At 33.4% G+C, this 24,482-nt stretch overlaps 1 protein-coding gene across 9 annotated transcripts in view; it reads right to left on the reverse strand.

Annotated features, from left to right (window-relative positions):
* The window catches only part of CSMD3 (CUB and Sushi multiple domains 3), a 1,214,012-nt gene that overhangs the window by 1,075,620 nt on the left and 113,910 nt on the right, over positions 1 to 24,482 (reverse strand). For all 9 annotated transcript variants that reach the window (NM_001363185.1, XM_017013010.2, NM_052900.3 and 6 more), the window contains one exon: positions 16,024 to 16,246. In NM_001363185.1, the coding sequence (NP_001350114.1) occupies positions 16,024 to 16,246 (223 nt within the window). The remainder of the gene's footprint in view (positions 1 to 16,023; positions 16,247 to 24,482) is intronic.

Consider the following 24,482-nt stretch of genomic DNA (forward strand, 5'->3'; position numbering starts at 1 on the left):
AGGATAGTAGGTACTCATCATTTAATGTAATATCTTGCTTATTTTAATATTCTCTTATCATCCAAAGACAAGAGAAGAAAACCTCAAAATAACAGAGGAAGGTTTGTTTGTAGTAGCTTCTTTTTGGAAGGTGGGAAGCTGATGGAGGAGAGCTTGGAGAGACTAGTTACATGTTTGGTAAAATCCGAAGGACATAGCAGAGATGAAAAACTCACAAAGCAGAGTTCAAGGTCTGGCTAGAGATGAGGGTCACAGAAAGGATAGCAAACAGTAGAGACTGAGGAACAGGAAGGTAAGAAGGAGCGAGATCCCTAGAGCAGCGATCTGCACACAATGCCTATATCAAAACATTGTGTCCATGGATTGTTCATATTTGTTGAAGGAAGATAGGAGTAAAAAATATTTCACTGAATATTTTCTTATTGAATACATATTAATTTTTATACTGTAGTCTAACAGAGACAGAAAAATGTATTTCTTCTGGTAAAGAACTCACATGTCCCTCTGGCTCACAAGTGCATTGAGCCAATCAGTGCTGCTATAAATATTAGCCAAAAGCGTGCTCAACAATACTTTTTAGAAAGATTTGTCTGTATGATAAAGGATAAATACATAATAACCAATTTGGTTTCAACTGACTATCTCAGAGATTACTCATGGGTTTGTTCTGCATTCTTAGTAATATCTTATTTTTAATGTAGAATATTTAATAATTTGTAAATAAGATAGTGTTAATTCTAGAATTATTTTCCTTTCCTTTTTTTGCTGCTCATGCTTATTTGAAAAATATGTGTAGAATAGCTATTTGTGTTATATTGCTATAATAAAAGCATAAAATATGTTGCCCTGCCTAAGTAGTCAATGGGGGTTGAGGAAACAGATTCCATGGTCTAGAAATCAGATTGAATTCAGTTAGTAACACAATATATTTTTTGTTTGCAATAACTTTGAAGGCATATCAAAAGCATATTGAGCCTTTAATTGGAGAGAAAGTGGCTAGAAAAACCAGAATGTTAGTGGATGTGGTAAATAATAAGTACAAGCAGCCAACAAACACATGAAAAAATGCTTAACATCACCAGTCATCAGAGAAATGCAAATTAAAACCGCAATGAGATAACATCTTACACCAGTCAGAATTGCCATTTTTAAAAAGTCAAAAAACAGCTGGGCACAGTGGCTCATGCCTGTAATCCTAGAACTTTGTGAAGCTGAGGTGGATGGATCACTTGAGGCCAGGAGTTCAAGACCAGCTTGGCCAACCTGGTGAAACCCCTCTCTACTAAAAATACAAAAATTAGCTAGGTGTGTGGCACATGCCTGTATTCCCAGCTATTCGGGAGGCTGAGGCAGGAGAATCGCTTGAACCCAGAGGCAGAGGTTGCAGTGAGCCGACATCACGCCACTGCACTCCAGTCTGGGTGACAGAGCAAGCCTCCATCTCAAAAAAAAAAAAATTAGCAAAGCATGGTGGTGCATGTCTGCAGTCCCAGCTACTTGGGAGGCTGAGGCAGGAGAACTGTTTGAACCCAGGAGGCGGAGGCTGCAGTAAGCCAATGTGGCACCACTGCACTCCAGCCTGGGTGACAGAGTGAGACTCTGTCTCAAAAAAGTCAAAAAAAAAAAAAAAACAACAGATGTTGGTGTGAATGCGAAGAAAAGGGAACACATATATTTTTCATGAGAATGTAAATTAGTTCAACCTCTATGGAAAACCACGTGGAGATTTCTCAATGAACTAAATGTAGAACTACCATTCAACTCAGTAATTCCACAACTGCATATCCACTCAAAGGAAAATTCTATAAAAAATCATTCTATAAAAATGATACCTGCACATGTATGTTCACTGCAGTACTATTCCCAATAGCAAAGTCATGGAACCAACCTAAGCATGCATCAACAGTTATGTGGTTAAAGGAATTGTGATACATATCCACCCTGAAGTACTGTGCAGCCATAAGAAAGAATGAAATCATGTTCTTTGCAGCCACCTGGATACAGTTGGAGGCCATTATCCTAAGCAAATTAATGCAAGAACAGAAAACCAAATACCACATATTCTCACTTGTAAGGAAGAGTTAAACACTGAAGATGCACAGACATACAGATGGGAACAATAGATACTGGGAACTACTAGATAGGGGAAGGAGGGTGGGAATATAGGCTGAAAAACTACCTATAAGTACTATACTCAACACCTTGGTGATGGGATTATATGTATCCCAAAGCTCAGCAGCAAGCAATATACCCATGTAATGACCCTGCACATATATCCTCTGAATTCAAAAATTTAAAAAGGGCACGATATTTATTATACAAGTGTGACAAATGCATACAATTGAGTTAAAATGAGTGAAAATGAACTACAGCAATATGCCACAGCATGGATAACTCTTAGAAACATAAGGTTGAGCCAAAAAAAGCATGTCCCAGAAAACTAAATGGGATGATATATATTTTATAAATCTTACAAATTAACATAATTAAACGTGATGTTGCTTAGGGATGTTCATGTATGATTCATACATGTTCATGTATGATTAAAGTATAATTTCGAAAAAAGTTAAAAATGACCACAACATGGAGGTGCTTGTTACTGGTAGGGTGAAGTCAGAGCAAGGAGAGGATGGGATACAAATGAAACAAAATGTGAGCAGCATCCTTGTTTAGTGGTAGGCTTATTGGTGCTGATTTTAATAAAGCACTTCACAATGTGTATGTTACAGACTTATATATTATTATGAATAAATTGTATTCTTAAAATATAGTAATAGAGAATATAGAAAATTTATATGGCAAGATAAATGGATGCAATAAAGAGTTAACGCTAGTATTCTAATAAATATATTATGGCAATGAACTGTTTTATATATTTTCATTTTTTTAAATAATCACATCTCACTCAGATATAATTTGACTGTTATAGTTAGAAAACATAACCTTAAAATGAATGAAATGAGGTTGCTGATTAGTTTATGTTTTTTTTTAATTACCACAAAAATGTAGGCAGTGGCTGTGGCAAGGGTCTATATTCTATACATTTTAGTTCTTCTATCTGTCCTGCTATATATATGTGACACTTGTGATTTTTTTCTCTAAAAATATCATTTAAAAATACAACTGAAAAGCCTTTAGTATTTCTGAAAACAAACTGGGTGACTGTAAACTTAATTATATATATTTTTATGTTGATAAATTTAATTATTTTTCTGTATGGGTTCAGTATCTTTTAAATAACTTTATAACATCAAACTTGAACATCTATGAAGGAAAAGTCCCCTTTTTACATGATTATTTGATGGCACAATATCCTTCAGATGTATGTCACGTTTTAACAGAAAATAGGTCATATACATGAGATTTTTAAGTGGACCCTGATATAAATGTGACCACTTTTCTTATACCCTTTAACCTTTGTGACATTTTAATTTATATTTAGTAAAATGACTCAATGAAATAATTCAATAAATTTATCTGATTTTATGGTTGCCTGGCTTAAGTCTTCTTATTCATCACTCCAAAAATGCTATAGTTGAAAAATGCAAATAAATACAATTAATGAGCTGTGCTCGAACCTATTTATGTTCACACTTCAGTCTCTTGAAATCCTGTTTTTGATCTTGAAACAGATATCAATACTTTTGAGATTTTATTTTCTCACCTGTATATATAATATAATATAATATATAATATAATATATATTATATAAAATATATATAATATATAATTATAATATATAATATAATATAATATATATATTATATATATAATAATATAATATAATAATAAAAAATATTAGGAAGAATATCTGAAATGATGTTATGAGAATTGTATATGAATAGCCTGACAGAGTATGTATTCAGAGAATGTTAGTTTTTAACAGATACAGAGTATATGTACCTTCCTTCAGAATATCAAATATTAACACAACTAAATGAATTTGAAGAGTTAATCTAAAATGTCTTATCTAAACATTTTATTTACGAGCTCATATTAATTATGTAAAAATTTTGTTACTAAAAACATTTACATTTATGAGAACATTAATATGCTTTCTGTAAGATTATCAAATGGTCACTTCGATTATGCCATTTTACTGATGAGAAAACCACATGATTATCTCAATAGATGCAGAAAAAGCCTTTGACAAAATTCAACAACCCTTCATGCTAAAAACTCTCAATAAATTAGGTATTGATGGGACGTATTTCAAAATAATAAGAGCTATCTATGACAAACCCACAGCCAATATCATACTGAATGGGCAAAAACTGGAAGCATTCCCTTTGAAAACTGGCACAAGACAGGGATGCCCTCTCTCACCGCTCCTATTCAACATAGTGTTGGAAGTTCTGGCCAGTGCAATCAGGCAGGAGAAGGAAATAAAGGGTATTCAATTAGGAAAAGAGGAAGTCAAATTGTCCCTGTTTGCAGACGACATGATTGTTTATCTAGAAAACCCCATCATCTCAGCCCAAAATGTCCTTAAGCTGATAAGCAACTTCAGCAAAGTCTCAGGATACAAAATCAATGTACAAAAATCACAAGCATTCTTATACAACAACAACAGACAAACAGAGAGCCAAATCATGAGTGAACTCCCATCCACAATTGCTTCAAAGAGAATAAAATACCTAGGAATCCAACTTACAAGGGATGTGAAGGACCTCTTCAAGGAGAACTACAAACCACTGCTCAAGGAAATAAAAGAGGATACAAACAAATGGAAGAATATTCCATGCTCATGGGTAGGAAGAATCAATATCGTGAAAATGGCCATACTACCCAAGGTAATTTACAGATTCAATGCCGTCCCCATCAAGCTACCAATGACTTTCTTCACAGAATTGGAAAAAACTACTTTAAAGTTCATATGGAACCAAAAAAGAGCCCGCATCACCAAGTCAATCATAAGCCAAAAGAACAAAGCTGGAGGCATCATGCTACCTGACTTCAAACTATACTACAAGGCTACAGTAACCAAAACAGCATGGTACTGGTACCAAAACAGAGATATAGATCAATGGAACAGAACAGAGCCCTCAGAAATAACGCCACATACCTACAACTATCTGATCTTTGACAAACCTGAGAAAAACAAGCAATGGGGAAAGGATTCCCTATTTAATAAATGGTGCTGGGAAAACTGGCTAGCCATATGTAGAAAGCTGAAACTGGATCCCTTCCTTACACCTTATACAAAAATCAATTCAAGATGGATTAAAGATTTAAACGTTAGACCTAAAACCATAAAAACCCTAGAAGAAAACCTAGGCATTACCATTCACGACATAGGCATGGGCAAGGACTTCATGTCCAAAACACCAAAAGCAATGGCAACAAAAGACAAAATTGAAAAATGGGATCTAATTAAACTAAAGAGCTTCTGCACAGCAAAAGAAACTACCATCAGAGTGAACAGGCAACCTACAAAATGGGAGAAAATTTTGGCAACCTACTCATCTGACAAAGGGCTAATATCCCAGAATCTACAATGAACTCAAACAAATCTACAAGAAAAAAACAAACAACCCCATCAAAAAGTGGGCGAAGGACATGAACAGACACTTCTCAAAAGAAGACATTTATGCAGCCAAAAAATACATGAAAAAATGCTCATCATCACTGGCCATCAGAGAAATGCAAATCAAAACCACTATGAGATATCATCTCACACCAGTTAGAATGGCAATCATTAAAAAGTCAGGAAACAACAGGTGCTGGAGAGGATGTGGAGAAATAGGAACACTTTTACACTGTTGGTGGGACTGTAAACTAGTTCAACCATTGTGGAAGTCAGTGTGGCGATTCCTCAGGGATCTAGAACTAGAGATACCATTTGACCCAGCCATCCCATTACTGGGTATATACCCAAAGGACTATAAATCATGCTGCTATAAAGACACATGCACACGTATGTTTATTGCGGCATTATTCACAATAGCAAAGACTTGGAACCAACCCAAATGTCCAACAATGATAGACTGGATTAAGAAAATGTGGCACATATACACCATGGAATACTATGCAGCCATAAAAAATGATGAGTTCATGTCCTTTGTAGGGACATGGATGAAATTGGAAACCATCATTCTCAGTAAACTATCACAAGAACAAAAAACCAAACACCGCATATTCTCACTCATAGGTGGGAATTGAACTATGAGATCACATGGACACAGGAAGGGGAATATCACACTCTGGGGACTGTGGTGGGGTCGGGGGAGGGGGGAGGGATAGCATTGGGAGATGTACCTAATGCTAGATGACGAGTTAGTGGGTGCAGCGCACCAGCATGGCACATGTATACATATGTAACTAACCTGCACAATGTGCACATGTACCCTAAAACTTAAAGTATAATAAAAAAAAAAAAAAAAGAAAATGTGGCACATATACACCATGGAATACTATGCAGCCATAAAAAATGATGAGTTCATGTCCTTTGTAGGGACATGGATGAAATTGGAAATCATCATTCTCAGTAAACTATCGCAAGAACAAAAAACCAGACACCGCATATTCTCACTCATAGGTGGGAACTGAACAGTGAGAACACATGGACACAGGAAGGGGAACATCATACTCTGGGGACTGTTGTGGGGTTGGGGGAGGGGGGAGGGATAGCATTGGGAGATATACCTAATGATAGATGATGAGTTAGTGGGTGCAGCGCACCAGCGTGGCACATGTATACATATGTAACTAATCTGCACATTGTACACATGTACCCTAAAACTTAAAGTATAATAATAATAAATAAATTTTTAAAAAAAGAGAAAATGAATGTTTATGGAGCGTGAGTTTCACTTTACTAAATATTTTATTAAATATTTTTAGTCAATTACAACATCATGTGTAGTTTGCTTTTAGGATATCAGTGCTGTTTTACCGAAAGCAGGCTAATGGAAGTAAACCTTTCCACAGATTTACTACAAAAGATTGAATAAATATAATCTAAGGAACAAAGTGTTTAAACTTGCTTATTGTCATCTTTTGTTTGATCTTTTAACCCCAGTTTTAATGGTTTAATTTAGTCTATTTCTTCACTAAAAGCCACCTCATTTCTTTTTGGCAAAATGCCTGGTATAAACAATAAATAGTTGTGTATACTCTGGAATCCTTGCCTTAGTCAGATTTGAAAGAGCCTTTTATGTTGACCAAAAGTTTTAGAAATCCTATCTGTCCTTGAGATCTATGCAATCATTAATTTGAATGCTCCAAAGTAAGTAATGATAACTAAAGAGAATAATCATTAACTGCCTAAGATGCATCAAAATTTTAATTGGCTTTTTTTCTAATTCACTTGCATGCCCAATGCCCAATGGCAATGCAGTAAGTCTTTTGTAAATTAAAGTATTAGGTAGGGGGATACTAAACACAATATAATGGTATTTTCAAGTTTGTATATAGAAAAATGCATTTCTACACTCAGCTTCTGTTTCCTGGGGTATGTGTTTTATACAAGGCTATGACTGAGGTCATAGTTGAACCAACAGTAAGCAAAGTTCACTTTGTCACTTGGTGTGTCTCATTAATATTATAGATAAATAACAAAACTCTAGTATTGCTTTTCTTATTTATTGAGAAATAATAAATAATAACTATTATTATAGTTGTTAATATCACATATGTCATTTCAGCACACAGCTATACACGCAATCACTCTATGCCATTGAGTCAGACAGTAGAGCCTCTGCGTTTCCCAGATGTTTTATTATATAAGAGAGAGAATCAGTACACAAGGGTTGGTTCCAACTCTGAAGGGAGAAATCTTTATCGTCAGCTAATTGGATTGAGTTATATCACTCTCAATGTAATCTTTAGGAAAACTTGGAGATAGAGACATGCGAGACAATGTCATCAGGTAGAGTTAAATCACTGGAGTGCACTGACATAAAATAAAACTACCCTCTGGTCATTTGTTTCTATGACCTAAGGCATTTAGATATTTTTGGATAATTTTCATGGAAAGTCATTCTCTACCTCAACATTATGCCTACAGGAAAGGAAACAGATTATTGCATGGCATTAAAAGAGGCATCAAGTATAGTGAGGAAAGATTTTAATTGTGAGTATTAGGAAGTTCTATGGGACATTGAGGGAGCAAAGGAGAGAAGAAATACTAACCATGTAAGAAAATAAGTGTAGTGGCTGCTCAAAAACATTTATGGGGATGCTGCCAACATTTTCTGAAGGAGAAAAGGTCTACTTGTTATATGTTAATTATAAAGAACCAAAAAGAAATGGTCTAACAATTACACAAGTGGGAATTCAAGCTACAGATGGTTTATTCACTCTAATTTCTGTTCCTTAATTATGTCCATTAGGCTTTTGAATTCTATGGTTATGACAACAATCCATCAAGTTTGTATAATAAATATGAATTGTGACAGAATGTTACATATTTTAAATCCCTCAACGTATCAAGAAAAAAAAATACTGGGTAAAGAATTGATATTTAATAAAGGAATATATAAAGTTCAGATAATTTAGCCATGGTAATGAAATATATTCTAGAATAATGACCAAGAAGGTATAAAAATATTATATATAGTCACAAAGTAAAAATCCAAAGAGGGAGAAGAGTAATATTACTGTAGAAATACAGATAAAAAATAAGGCCTAGCCTTTTCTGGAAAAAACTTAGTTTATCAAGTAATACTTTTAAGAATGTACTTGAAACATGCTTTATTATAATTGTGTCCAGAGGCAGCCAGCTAGGACACATAATTTATTAAGTTGTTATTTCTAGGATTCCTTAAAATGTACACCTTAATTCTTCTTCACTTTAATGCTTAAATAGAACAAAATGAACTTAGACTCCTTCACATCTTCAAGAAGAATCACAGATCTAAATATAAAGCTAACACTCTAAACCTTCAGAAGAAAATACAGGATATCTTTCCATCTTTGGATAAGCAAATATTTATTGTACTACCAGAAAGCACTAACAAAATATAATATTAATAATTTGGACTTTGTTAAAATTAGAAACCTTAACTCATGCAAAGATAATGTAAGAAAATGAAAGAGCAAGTAACAGATTGGAAGAAAATAATTGCAATGCATGTATTTGTCAAATAAATGCTATAAAGATTGCAAAGATCCTTATAATTTGATACATCAAGACTAAGCAAACAACCCAATTAAAAAAATAGACAAAATATTTGAACAAACTCTTCATAAATAAATGGTTGATAAGCACATGCTCAATATTATTAGGCATCACAAAAGTGCAAAATAATACCACAATAAATGCTGACAACCTCAAATGTCAACAAAGGTGTGGAGCATTTAGAATTCTCATACAGTGATGGTGAAGTACAAAATGCGTACACAGCTTAGAAAAGCTATTTGGCAGTTTTTTCTTATGATATTAAATCTATATCTACCTAATAACCAAACATTTTGACTCATCTCATTTCACAGAATGAGAGCTTTAAAAAGTTCATTTTACCCATGGCTATAGAGTGTTTCTCTATTTTACAACTTTATGTGTTTTTGCAATAGACTGCAATTTTTTTAATTCTAAGTTCTGTTTCATACTTGGGGAATTTATTCTCAACATATTACAAAATTTTGCTATTATTTGCAATATAATATATTTTGTGATTTTTCTTAATGATGATTGATGAGATATTGACATGTAGCAACACATTAATTTTTCTTTTTAGTTCTATAAATATCCAGTAAATCATTTAAGTCTTTTTTTTTTTTTTTTTTTTTTTTTTTTGAGATGGAGTCTCGCTCCGTCACCCAGGCTGGAGTGCAGTGGCGCGATCTCGGCTCACTGCAAGCTCCGCCTCCCGGGTTCACGCCATTCTCCTGCCTCAGCCTCCCCAGTAGCTGGGACTACAGGCGCCCAACACCACGCCCGGCTGATTTTTTGTATTTTTAGTAAAGACGGGCTTTCACTGTGTTAGCCAGGATAGTCTCGATCTCCTAACCTCGTGATCCGCCTGCCTCGGCCTCCCAAAGTGCTGGCATTACAGGCGTGAGCCACCGCGCCCTGCCCATTTAAGCTTTCTTATGTATACAGTCATAAAATCTGTAATGAATTATAATTTGGTATATTGTTCAATATTTAGAACTCATATTTCTGTATCTGTATCGTTCTATTTTGATAATTAATTCTTTTTAATGATGTGATAGCTTATACTTCCTTTGTCTTTTATTTTAATGGCATAGAAGTTATAATTATTGTTTTCAACCCCGTATAAGTGAACTTTACCACCTGTAGACCCTCTTTAAGGAGAAGTTAAAGAGAGCCACAAAGTTTATATATGCATCTGGATGTTATTTAGTTTAAGAAATTAAGAGATAGTCTTTTATCAACCAACATATTAAAATCAGCTTTCAATTTCTTTACGGCAGATGTTTTTTGTTTTTTTGTTTTCTTTTGTTTTGTTTTTAGAGACAGGGTCTGGCTCTGTCACCCTGGCTGGAGTGCAGTGGTGCAGTCTCTGCTCACTGCAACCTCCGCTTCCTGGGTTCAAGCAATCCTCCCACCTCAGCCTCCAGAGTAGCTGGGATTACAGGCACAGGCCACCACACCCAGCTAATTTTTCTGTATTTTTTGTAGAGATGGGGTTTCACCATGTTGCCCAGGCTGGTCTCAAACTCCCGAGCTCCAGCCATTGGCCTCCCAAAGTTTTTTCTTTTTTTTAATGATTTTATTATAATTTCAACTTTTATCTTGGATTCAGAGAGTATATGTGCAGGTCCATTACATGGGTATACTGCATGATGCCAAGCCCTAGGACGTGAATGATCCTATCACCCAGATGTAAGCATAGTACATGACAGTTTTTCAGCCTATGCTTCCTTCGCTCCCTCCCCACACTATTAGTCCCCAGTGTCTATTGTTGCCATCTTTATGTCCATGAGTACCCAATGTTTAGCTCTCACTTATAAGTGAGAACATGTGATATTTACTTTTTTATTATCTGCCTCCGCCTTAAGATTTTGTGTTATGTTAACACTTACACTTACATTTGATTTTATCTTTACCTATCCATTTGTTTTTAACATTTCTAATCCATGGACGTTTATATAACTCAGGAAAGTGAAGTTTATGTTGCAGTCATTACTACACCATGACTATGACCTTGTGATAATTACTCCCTGTTTTTAAATCACAACTTTGGAAACAATTTATTTAGAAATAATATTTATTTATTTACCTATCAAAATATCCAAAAAATAAGCTTTGGATATTGTGATAGATTTTGTCAGTTGCCTGGCCCTCAGTCTTCTCCATGCTGTTTTCCACAACTGAGGTTGAAAATGAAAGCTGTTTTTCTAGAATACTGTTGACCAAGGGATGGTGATGTCAGGCTGTTCTGGCCAATGATATAGGAGAAGAATCCTTCTAAGGACTTTTGGGAAAGCTTTTGATTTACTGATGAACTGTATAATAACAAACTTCTTGTTATATAAGAAAAATAAATTTTTTGTTTAAGCTACAGTAAGTCAGGATTTCTGTTACAGCCAAACATCCAAAGTGATAGGCCATATCAAAGTAGCAATGAGGAGACCAGAGTAACATGTCAGGAGTCACACTAAATAAAAGTTTTTGTACTCAAGTCTTTTAAAAAATAACTATACTACTACGTTGGTTATTTAGAAATAATCATTCTCTTCCACTTTGAGAAAAGATTATCATTCCATAATATTTCATATGTATTAAGGTTGTACATGTTAAAAATTAGGAAAAGGAATTTAAAAATGAGAATTTATAAAACATCTAGCTCTTGACTTTGTAACATTAAAAGAAATGAAATGAATCTTTAAATAAATGGATAATATATATCATATAAAAATTTTAAAATTCTTCACTTATTTGTGCAGAAAAAACAGCTAAGATTTAACAAGCAACCAAGAAGCTGAGAAATATTTTTGTCACAAAAAGGAAATATTTACATGTTTAAGAATAAATGAATTATGTAAATCATCAAGAAAAATATTGATACATAGACAAAAAATAAATTACAGGAGAAAACCAGCATGGTTATCAAACAAGAGAATATGTTAAATATCTATAAAAATCAGATATATGTAAATAATCAAATTAAGAATAAAAGATGTAAGTCTGGGAAGACTGAGAGGTAATGAAGTATAGTTTTCTAGTTGTAATAATATTCATTGATATAAGATTCTGGAAAGCATATTAGTAATATAAAGAATATTATTTGCTTCTGACCTAGACATCCTGTTTCTACCAAGAACCAATCTAAAATATAGAAAATATATATTCATAAGGATGCTAATACGTGAATTAATTATAAAAGAAAAAACAAAAATATAATAGAATGATAATTACATAAATTATATCCACAGGATTAAATATTTGCATAAATTAATGCTTACATAAAATGATTAAATATACTTAACAAATTCAATAAATTAATGTTTACAAAGATTCTAATCACACATTAGACATGTACATTATAATGTAGAGAGATTATTAAGGACATACAATATCATATATGGAATGATCCTGGGTAAATATATCTGTCTCTGCCTCATTAAATAATAGGTGATTTTTTACTTGTTGGTATAAGTTTATTATTCGGAAAATATAATATTAATGTAAAATAAACAAGGCTTAGAATAACCTTTATGCTTCCAGCAATGTTGCCTTAAATGCATCAGCACTTGTTCTAAGATAAAATTATGATTAAGAAAGAAATTATCTAACGGTGCTTTGCCAATATCAATTCTCTTTTAATAAAAAATAACTTACAGAAAAACAAGTAATATCATTAATCATTGGAGGCTTAGAGTACAGTTTTTAAAATATGAAATTCTGATTATGAATCCCAGTGTGTTTATTTATACAAGCAAGAATGACAAGACCCACAAACCATTTTTTTTCCTACATTATTGCAAGACAAGTGTAAGAAGCCATTTTTAAAAAATCTATTGGAGCTCATGAAAAGTAAAAAAAATAAATATCAATTTCTGGAAGAAAGAGAACAGCAAACACACCATAAGGACATGCATTAAGTGAGAATATGATCCAATATGAGAGAAACAAAACCCAAGAAAACAGTGAGTCAAACAGCCAGACGCAAATATGAATCAAACTCTGCCAGCAGCAGTTTCGACTTCTAATCAAACAGCAGATTTTGTATATAAACACAGTCTGGAACGGGCTGTAGGTTACATACTAATTTTTTTCTTTCCAGTCTTGCTAACTAAAGTCAGCTATAACATTAACTACAGTACTTCTTGAAGCACAAAAACCAATAAATGTGTTAAATGTTTACAGTGAGCAAAACATTAGACTCTAAAGACTATATTATAACATAGACTACATGTTAGAATATAGTCTTGTCATTTTGCTTGTATAAATAGAGTACATGTATGAATATAGTCTATAAAATAAATAGGAAAAATAAATTTGTAGCTTACCTTTCGGTTTATATTTGTATATATTACACCTGTTTGAAAATATACCTTTTATTATTATTTCTCTTACTAAATTTGATCCAATACTGCTAAGAAAAAATAGATTTTTATTTATATATCAATACATAAACTTTGGAGATTGTGTCTAACTACATAGAATTATATATATTGAAGAGCTTCAGATCTAAACTAAACAAATCTGAATTGTAATGATAGTTCTGCCTTTTGCCACTTTCAAAAATTTTACTCGGGCAATCAATTCAAGCCTCATTTTATCAGTTGTAAAATGATGATGATAATAGTAATTATTTTACATTGTTTGGATACAGGAGAAGTTAAATACCATAATGAACACAAAATACATAGCACAGTGACAGGTGCAGAGGAATCATTCAATAAATGTTAAGGGTTAGAGTCACTGAGCTTTCATTATATTGTATTCCCCATAAAATCTCTGTGAATTAAGTGCTATTATTCCCAATTTACAGATTAGGAAAGAAAGAATGAGAACAATAAATTTATTTTCCTAACTTCGCAATTTTTTAACTTCCCAGAGGCCACAGTTGTTTAGAAAAGCAGGAAAGAGGAAAAATAAAAATGTGTTTTCTCATTTTCAAGGCAATCTAGAGAGAATAGGTACATGTACAAGCATTACTATCAGGGAATTGATACTTTGAAACTAACAGGTAATATTGAAAGAAGTATTTTTATATATTTAGGAAAATTATATCCCACAGATTGCCAGTGTAAAAAATTGTACTTCCACTTATAGGTATTATTTGCATTAACAAAAGACACCAGCTTTTAATGACAGTGGCAATGATGATCAAACAGCAGTCAGACGTGCGTACCATAATGTATATTTATAAAATAGATGATTATTGTATGAGTTACAATGTAAAAGTTTATGTATGAGTTTACAATGTAAAAGGAAAAAGAAATCAGATTTACTCGGTAAACGAGTATAGAGGAAAAAAAGAAAGAAAAATAGAATCTTAGCTGTAATCAACCTAGTAACCTTGTTTTTGCACAACAAAGTTTGTGAAATAACTCAGGCATTTTTAAGTGTCATCTGACTGGAAGCAGTTCGATGTGCTCTAATAGGATTTTGTAGACATGCAGCAGGTTCATACACATTTTCTCGTAATACCTGCAGAACAGTATAATGAGATGGCTAGAACCGGCCTTACTACCATCTCTCAGTTTAAACAGAGGTAGCGTAGATTGCTCAAAAAGCTGGTGAGCAACAAACCTAACATCCTAATGTAATAAATCTCATCTCCAGATCCACCATTTTCCCCACTACATTATGTTTTTCATTGCCAAAACTTGAGGAAAATAAACACTAATTCTTTCTTTTTTCTTTTTTTTTTGAGACGGAGTCTTGCTCTGTCACCCAGGCTGGAGTGCAGTGGCGCGATCTTGGCTCGCTGCAAGCTCCGCCTCCCGGGTTCACGCCATTCTCCTGCCTCAGCCTCCCAAGTAGCTGGGTCTACAGGCGCCCGCCCCGACACCCGGCTAATTTTTTGTATTTTTAGTAGAGACGGGGTTTCACTAAAACACTAAATTTTTACTTAAAATTGAAAAAATATAAATGCAAAGGAATATGGAAGACTGATGAAACTGTAAAAAGTTAGCACTGATAATCTGCTTCTTGTACATTAGGAAGGCAAGAACATGTTATCAACTATTAGAAAGTAACACCATCAGAGAATCATAACTCAAACATAGCCAAGTATGTAAAGAGTCTTTAATTCCTACATGTTACCTTCTTAGACTATTTTAAATTACAAGTTTAAAAAAGCTTATGGCACTTAAAGAAAAGTATACAAACACTGGCATAAATCTAGGACTAAATAAAATGTGCAATTCTTGGAATGTTGAATTTTTTAGTTGAATTATAGTTGATTTACAACTAAAATAAGTTTCTGGTAAGACCTCAAAAATACTTCTAATTTTACATAACCTCTTTGCCAAGAGAAAATTCTGAAGAACCAGAAGAACTACCTTAAAAATAGTCAGGGTGCTAGTTAATTTTTACATCTGTTTAATCAATAAGCTTCAAAAAACACTTTCATTTATAGAGGCAAAAATATAAATGACCCCATTTTTGACATGAAAGTATGTAGTTTTCAGATATTTAGATTTTATAAACTACACACATTATCAGAAATTAATTTATTCTACTATTCATGAATGCTGACTTAAGGTGTTTTTGCATAGTGTTGTATATTAAAATTGGACATATTATCACTGAAATATACCTTATATAGTATGTTTTACTTTATCAAAAGTTATATCCATAATGAATGAAACCTTGAGATAATCATTTTTAAAAACAAAATACCTTTAGCCACTATAAAGAGATCACCACTCAATATATATTCACCTTTGTGAGACATAGTATTAATGTACTAGCAATATGACATCAGAGACACCAAGCTAATTTGTTCATGGGATGATATATTTTCAAATAAATAATAATTAGATGGTGAATACAACTTTATTATAATTGCATCACAAATGTTAAGCATCTTTTGTAAAATAAACTACTTTTACCCAGGAAATATTTTCTCTCCAGTCTTCCATTCAAAACACACTAACCTTGTCCTAAAGTTTGTAGGATGAGGATGTCCATCATATAATGATAAGTAGTCGTATTCTTCTTCTAGAGCAAATGACTGAAAAACAATTTGTATTCTATTTCGTTCTTCTGCTATTATTACCCATGTGCAGTTTGCACCATTTGGATATCCATATGGAAAACCAGGGCTTTCTATAGTGCCATTAAGTCCTTTTAAAGTTCCACCACATGTATAAATAAATCCTGCAACAAAAGACAATAAACAGACATTAATATTATATAAATCAAGAACAATCCATGAGATAATATTATTTTGAAAGTCTATTGCATTTCCAAGACCAAAGTTAACAATAATTTTATAAATGGCAGTTTAAGAGCTGGGCACTATATACAAATATATATGTAAAATATAAGAAACAAAATAATAGAAGATTTATCATTTATAATACATACTGAGGTAAATAATTATAAAGCAGTTGATGAAATAAAATTATCCACATACATCTGATTCATTATCCATTACAGGTTCCTATAGACAAACACAATCCTAGAACACGGTATCTTTCTTCAAAGAGTTTTAAATCTCATTGTGGGAGCTCATAAACAACACTGACATTTTAAAGATCTTTGTATGCATTTTGGGTCCCAAAGAATTAACTCCATTTTTCTTGGCAACACATGCTAGCTTTTTTGACATATTCAGATCTCTACCCTGTAGCTCACATGCTTTAGGAAAATCTGTCTCACCCTGATTATAGAAGAGGAATTTTTTAAAGTCTATGAAATGGCTCTACCTTTCATTAAAATATTTAGTCCATGATGAACAGAATTCTAAATTAACCACATCAGAGTGAATCCGAAGGTCAGGACAAAAATACGTTAAATAAATGGATCTTGGACAACTGACAGCACCCATCTTAAGAACTTCTGTATTTGTTCCATGGAAAGTCTAAGTTACTGAGAGCATGAGTTCTGGAGATACCTAGAAAACTTACTATATTTCTTCAGCAATTTGTCTCTTCAAATATATATATATATCAGGTATATATATTAAATATATATCTCAAATATATCACAAATATATATCAAATGTATATTAAATATATATATCAAATGTATATTAAACATATATATCAAATGTATATTAAATATATATCAAATATATATATTAAATATATATTTTTTTGAGACAGAATTTTGCTCTGTCACCCAGGCTGTAGTGCAGTGGCGAGATCTCAGCTCACTGCAACCTCTGCCTCCTGGGTTCAAGTGATTCTCCAGCCTCAACCTCCCAAGTAGCTGGAATTACAGACATGCACCACCACGCCCGGCTAATTTTTGTATTTGTAGTTGAGACGGGGTTTCACCATGCTGGCCAGGCTGCTCTCGAACTCCTGACCTCAGGTGATCCACCCACCTCAGTTTCCCGAAGTGCTGAGATTACAGGCGTGAGCCACCATGCCTGGCCTCTTCAAATATATAATATTCTGTAGCATATTGTGTAATGTAAAAACCTAAGATTAATACAACCGTAAGAGAAGATGGTCCCAGTCTTTATGTAGGCTACATGCTAATAAAACTTGCATTTAGAGGCGGTTAAACAGGATCAGAAGTTCTCATGAGAAACTCTTCACCCAGATGTTATTATCTTTATCTGTGAGTCCTACAGGAAGCTGAAGTGCCAGAAGCTGTAAATCAGAGTTATCAAGCTAATCTGAGGGAGAGAAGTCGATACTACCAAAAGCATCTATGTTTGGAACTGGCATAGAAATGCAGGAAATTTGGGGCTCCTCTCTTTGAGAAGAAATGAATATATTTTATGTAAGTATGGATACTTTTTAAAAGTAAGAGGAATGCTGAATAGAAGTCCTCAGAAGCCAGAGTTGTAGATTATGGCAGATAGTGGCTGATTTGGGATGTTGTACATTTATTCCACATTCTTTTCACAATAGCACCTTGTTTTTGCCAGGGAAGCCACTTCTCTATCAAACAGCTATATACTTTTTTTTTTTTTTTTGAGACGGAATCTTGCTCTGTTGCCCAGGCTATAGTGTAGTGGCGTGATCTCGGCTCACTGCAACCTCCCCCTCCTGGGTTCAAGTGATTCTCCTGCCTCAGCCTCCTGAGTAGCTGGGATTACAGACATACGCCACCACGCCCAGCTAATTTTTGTACTTTTAGTAGAGATGGGGTTTCACCATGTTGGCAAGGCTGATTTCGAACTACTGACCTAAAGTAAACCACCCACCTCAGCCTCCAAAAATGCTGGATTACAGGAGTGAGCCACTGGCCAGGCCAAAACAGCTACATACTTTGGAGCAGCTGACTCTGCTGACTCCAGTGATGAGAAATGTGGCTCAGGGCTTGGTTGACCAATATAATCCTATCCTCTGAGCAAAATTTACTACAGGGATCTTTTCCTATATCTCACCATATGGCAAAGTCTTAAGCCTGGGATATTTGGTATGTTTATGTGCTATAAAGCATAGTTCTTGTTATCATTTTGCCTCTTTGAAAATTGACCAGGAAGTTGGATCAGGTAGAAGAGGTTTAAAAAAAATCAATATTTGTGTATATTCAGATAATTTTGCTCATGCACCAAAAGTCAAATAGGGCATTTTATGATTTTCAAAAATAAATAAATAAATAAAAGGTCTCTTTTTAAATTGCTTCTTGCAGAGCAATTACTTTGAAGCCTTAGGTTAATTAGCTATCACCCATTTCTATTAGTTTTCTGCCTGAACAGCTTCCAATTTGAACTTCATAACTAAAGGCAAGCATGAATCCCTTCAGCTACAATCTGATCTACGGGCTGTTTTATATACTCTCAAGCCCCATAACCCTGATAGTTTTAGAAAAAGGACATATGTCTTAAAATAACATGCTCAGCTTTGTCCACTCATTCTTCAAGGGCCTGCTGATTCATGGATTTCGAGTACTTTTATTTTTAGACAAATTAGGAATTACACCTATATTTAAACTTCCTTATCTGTATTCTTCTTTTTACTTTTGTTTTTGTTTATCACAAAGTTACATTAAACATAGCATTATTCTCTAGAATAAAGTACATTTTTTCCAGAAAGGAGTTTTAAATATTTTACTTTAAAAATTTGAAAATCAGAAGTAAGCATTATAAAGCAAAATATCCTCCCTCATTCATTTATGCTTCACAGGGTTGGTCATTTTTAATAGCGCAGTGTTTTTCTTACTAGGCCTTTCCTAGGCACAAGCAGATATCCATTCTATATTATTTTTCAAGTGATGTCAGTCATATTATGCCTATTTTTCTGAATTGTTATATCTATTTTAAAAAAATCACTGGCATTCTTCTGGGTACAGATGTAGACTTCTACTACATTCTTCTTTGAAAGACTTTATAGCTACACAGCATATAGTACGCCTATAGTATAATTTATTTTACCATTCTCCTAATGATAACTTCATTTTTATGGTTATAACGGTCTAATGAGCAACTGTGTAAAAACAACTCTGTACATATATCCTTGTACAAAGTATATATCTTTTGTGTACAAAGGGCATATATCCTTGTGCACTTGCTTGATACCTCCCAAGATGGAATCCCAGAAATGGGGTTGCAGAAAATTTATACAGATACAGTGAAACCATACTTAATAAATATGAAAATTTATGTTTCTGGCACCACTGTATGAAGTGTTTTTCACCCTCAATCCTAATTCTGGCAACATTAGATATTTTTGAAAGGCAAATTTTGTTTTTCATTTTTGCTTTTTAAGAAATTTTATCATGTTTATTTGAAATTTGCAACTTGATGCTGTGGAACACATACAGAGAGTAAAGTGGTTACCATAGTGAAATAGATTACTGTAGCTATCATCTCACATAGTTACTTTTTTGTTTGACAAGAGTAGCTAAAATATACTTATTTAACAAAAATCCTTACTACAATACAATTTCATTAACTGTAGTCCTAATGTTGTACATCAGGCCTCTAAACTTGTTCATCCTACATACCTGCTATATGACCTACAGCTCCCCACTTTCTCTTCCCCTTACTCCTGCTCACCCATGGAAATCACTGTTTCATTGCCTATGCGTGTGTACTTAAGCTTTTTAAAAAAAATATATTCCACATATAGGTGATATCTTCCAATACTTTTATTTTTGTGCCTGGCTTATTTCACTTAGCATAATGTCCTCTAAGTCCATCCAGGTTGTAGCACATGGTGGGATTTCCTCTTTTAAGGCTGAATAAGATGTGTGTGTGTGTGTGTGTGTGTGTGTGTGTGTGTGTAAAATATATTCCATTGTGTATATATAAAAAGGGATCTATATCCCCTTTTTAAGGCTGAATAAGATTCCATTTTGTGTGTGAGTATGTATATATACACATTTCATTTTCTTTATCAATTTATCTCTCAACGTGTATCTAGGTTGTTTCCACATTTTGACTATTATGAATAATGCTGCAAAAAACATGGGAGTGCAGATATTTTTACATGGTGGTTCTTGTATCTCATTTTGGTATATACCTGGAAGAGGAGTTGCTGGGTCATATAGTGGTTCTATGAATATAATATTTTTAATTTATTTAGGAACCTCCATACAGTTTTTTCGTAATGGCTGTACTAATCTACATTCCCGCCAATAGTGTACTAGGGTTTCCTTTTCTCCACATCCCTGACAACAATTGTTATCTCGTCTTTTTGATAATAATCATACTTACGGGAGTAAGGCAATATCTTATAGTGGTTTAAATTTGCATTTCTTTAAAGATTAATTATGTTGAGCATCTTTTCATATACCTTTTTGCCATTTTATAGCTTCTTTGGAGAAATGTCTGTTCAGGTCTTTTGCCCATTTTTAAAATCAGGTTATTGTTTTTTCTGCTATTGAGTTATAAGAATTCTTTATAATTCTGGATATATTAACCCCTTAACAAAAATGTAGTTTGAAAATATTTTTAATAGCCCATAAATTGCCTATTATTTTGTTGATTGTTTCCTTTATTGTTCCTAAGGTTTTTAGTTTAATGCTGTTCTGTTTATTTACTTTTGTTTTTGTAGTTTGAGCTTTTTGGAGTGGTATCAAAATTAATTGCCAAAGCCAATGTCAAGAAGCTAAAAGGCAAATTTTGCAAGGCAAAAAAAAGTTATCATACTATTTTCTTTTGCATTTCTCTGATAACAAGTAGTTACTCTTGTAATTGCTATTGTAATTTTGCTGATTACTGTTGAGATTACTATTGTGATTCACTTGGAATCTATATTTGCCTTTGTAAATACATTTCTAAGTGAAACAACTTTGGTTATTCTTGCTCATTGTTCTCATAAATCTACAATTCCTTATTGTTCTTTATAGTACATGTGGAACATCACCTCCTTTTTCTCTTGTCTCCTCTGATGATTGTTTTCCTATATTCTTTCATCTATTCATCACATATTTCATGCCTTACAGGTAAAATGATATAAAGAACATTGTCCAAGCTCATCTTCTGGGAGCTGACAATCTAAAACATGAGATAGCAGGACATTTAGGCCATTGCTACAAAATACAGAAAGTATTATGATTTGGGTGTGCACACTTTGCTATGAGAACACATAGAAGTAAAACTAAATATAGATTAAGTCAGTATGATGTATATGGAAAACTCCCCTCAAAAACTGGCATTGCAACTTTTTCATAGATTCGTGTTTTACAATTTCTAAATGCCTTATATTATGTTTTTCAGACCTTATCTTTTAATGTGCACTTAAAATTAACAGTGTACTTACAGTTGAAAGGTAACTAAATTTTATATGACTTAGGTCTCACTGTCATCAAGAGTTTGATTAACAATATTGATTTCAAAAAACATCATGCCCATATTTCACCTTTACTATTCAGCAAGAAATAATGCAATGACTATATGTATAGTAGTTTAATGATGTTTTAATTTTTTTGAGCGTGCTAAGGTTTCTGACAAACAACATTCACACTTGTGTTTACTTTCTCCAGCCATCTTCACAAAACACTGCAACTGAGCTTCTGTGACCAATTATGTTGACATGACTCTTGCAAAAATTACTCATGACCTTTCCATTTTCAAAATCAGTTCTTTTTTAAAAAATTGTTCTTGTCATCTTTGTGCATTTGTTACGGCTAATCGTTGTTCTTTCTTGGAAATCTTTTCTTATTGTTTCCATGATGATGCCCTGCTTTTCTAATCTCATGAACTTCTCCTAAAACCACTCCTTTACTAAATTTCTGTCTTCATCTGTCTTCTCTATTTTGCAGGCTTCTTAGCAACCACAGATATAGCTGTAAGCAATACTGGTGACCATAAAAGAGGCATATCTTCATTTATCTGTTTCCACCCTTTGCTATATATCTCCGTGTAGATGTAGCATACCATGTAGAAACTAGTCATCCATGTCCTTTGCTTATCCTCAAATCTCATTAGTTCATTCTATTAACTGTCTCTTAAATCTATCTCTAGTCCCCTCTTTGTTTTTCTATTCTAAACCCTGTGGATTTGATTCAATTCTTCCTCATCTCCTGCATCCTATCCTATTTTAAGAGCAACCAGTCTATCCTGCTAGGCTTTCTGCATTTGCCCATCTACTCAGGTCCCCACATTGCTGCTAAAGTCATTTCTACAACAAACAAACCCAATCTTGTCACTTCCTTATTCAATAGTATTATTCAGCTACTTCTTATTGTCAATATAAGGTTCATACTTCTCTCCATGTATCTTATATAATAGCTAACTGATTTTTGTTTTTATATTGCTGAGCCATATTCCATCTTTAATTTTGGAGTGCTAAACTGGATTCTTAAATTTCTTGAAGCTGACCTAGGAATAGTTCTTTGAAGTTTACTAACAACTTCTTCTTCTAGACAGAGGAAGGAGTGGGGCACACATATACACCTGCTCATCAAAGTCCTCAAAATGTTCACTTACTAGATATTAAGGTAAAGTGTCACTTGTCATTTATCTTTTGCTTTTCTTTATTGATACTTCTGTTTCTAATATTTATTATTTACAATGTAATTTTTTATGAATGTTTTTCCTAAGTCTTTCAAAAATTTGCCTTTATGCCATTGTGGTTTGAGCAAAACCTGGCATTCAGTAGAAATTCAGTAAGCACTTTTTGACTGAATAAATACTTTCCTCTACCATTTCTTTGCCCATACCAAATGACTCTCCAAACTTCCACATTGAGGAAACTCAGAGACAAATAGGGTTAGTATTATAATTTTGGGTAAATTTTTGGATAACAGATTTTTGTAAAGATTTGGGGTGAATGCATTTAACTTGTAAATTTCACATTGATTGAAATGAAAAGCTACATACTCATAAGAAGAACTTATAATACTCACTGAGGAACAATATTTCTTTGCATAATCCCAAAAGCTTTAAAATTGCAGTATTTTACATAAAAATTTGGAAATATTATCTCCTCAGAGAGGCCTTTGTTTTAAATTTTTTAATATAAACACAACAAATATACAAAATGTGCACCAAATTAATGTACATACATGAAAAATTTAATAATTACAAACTGAAAACCTATGTTACCAGTAGGTATATCCAAAACTAACACTATTACAACTCTTTATGATGCCTTCATTAGTTTTAATCACAATATCTTTCATTACTCATCAAAGTAACCATTATCGCCTCAGATTTGTGTAATTTTCTAAACTTTTACTCATAAATTTATTATATATGTATGCATTTCTATCCTCAAGTCATGATGAAATTATCCTATCTTCTCATGTTGTACTGGTTTACTTATCACATGCACATTAGGAACACATAATTTTTGGTGATGGGAGAGATGGATAGAGATTAATTTATTTTCTATTTAGATATCCAAATCACCCAGAGCCATTTATAAAAAAAGACACACTTTTTGACCCATACTTCAGTTTGTCATAAATTAAACATGGGTATTCGTGTAGGCCTGTTTTGAGATGTTCTGTTCCATTAGTTTATACCACACTATCTTAACTTGTTTCATAAGAAGCATCATTCTTTTTCTTCAAAACTGCTCCAGCTTTTTTAAAGCTTAGCATTTACATATGTATTTTAGAATCAATTTACAAAATAAACTGCTAAAATTTTGATTGGGATTATTTTGATTCTATAGATAAATTGGGGAGAGCTAACATTTTGCCATATTGACATTTTCAATGTTATGAAAATATTATTATGAAAACCTTCATTTATACTGGCTTTTTTTTATTTTTGAGATAGAGTCTCGCTTTGTGCCCAGACTGGAGTGCAGTGGTGTGATCTCAACTCACTGCAACCTCCACTTCCCGGGTTCAAGCGATTGTCGTGTCTCAGCCTCCTGAGTAGCTGGGATTACAGGTGCCCGCCACCATGCCCGGCTAATTTTTGTATTTTAAGTAGAGACAAGGTTTCACTATGCTGGCCAGGCTGGTCTCAAACTCCTGACCTCAAGTGTTCTTCACCCACCTCAGCCTCCCAAAGTGCTTGGATTACAGGCGT

The sequence above is a fragment of the Homo sapiens genome, chromosome 8 (assembly GCF_000001405.40).
Source record: "Homo sapiens chromosome 8, GRCh38.p14 Primary Assembly".
Classification (NCBI taxonomy): domain Eukaryota; kingdom Metazoa; phylum Chordata; class Mammalia; order Primates; family Hominidae; genus Homo; species Homo sapiens.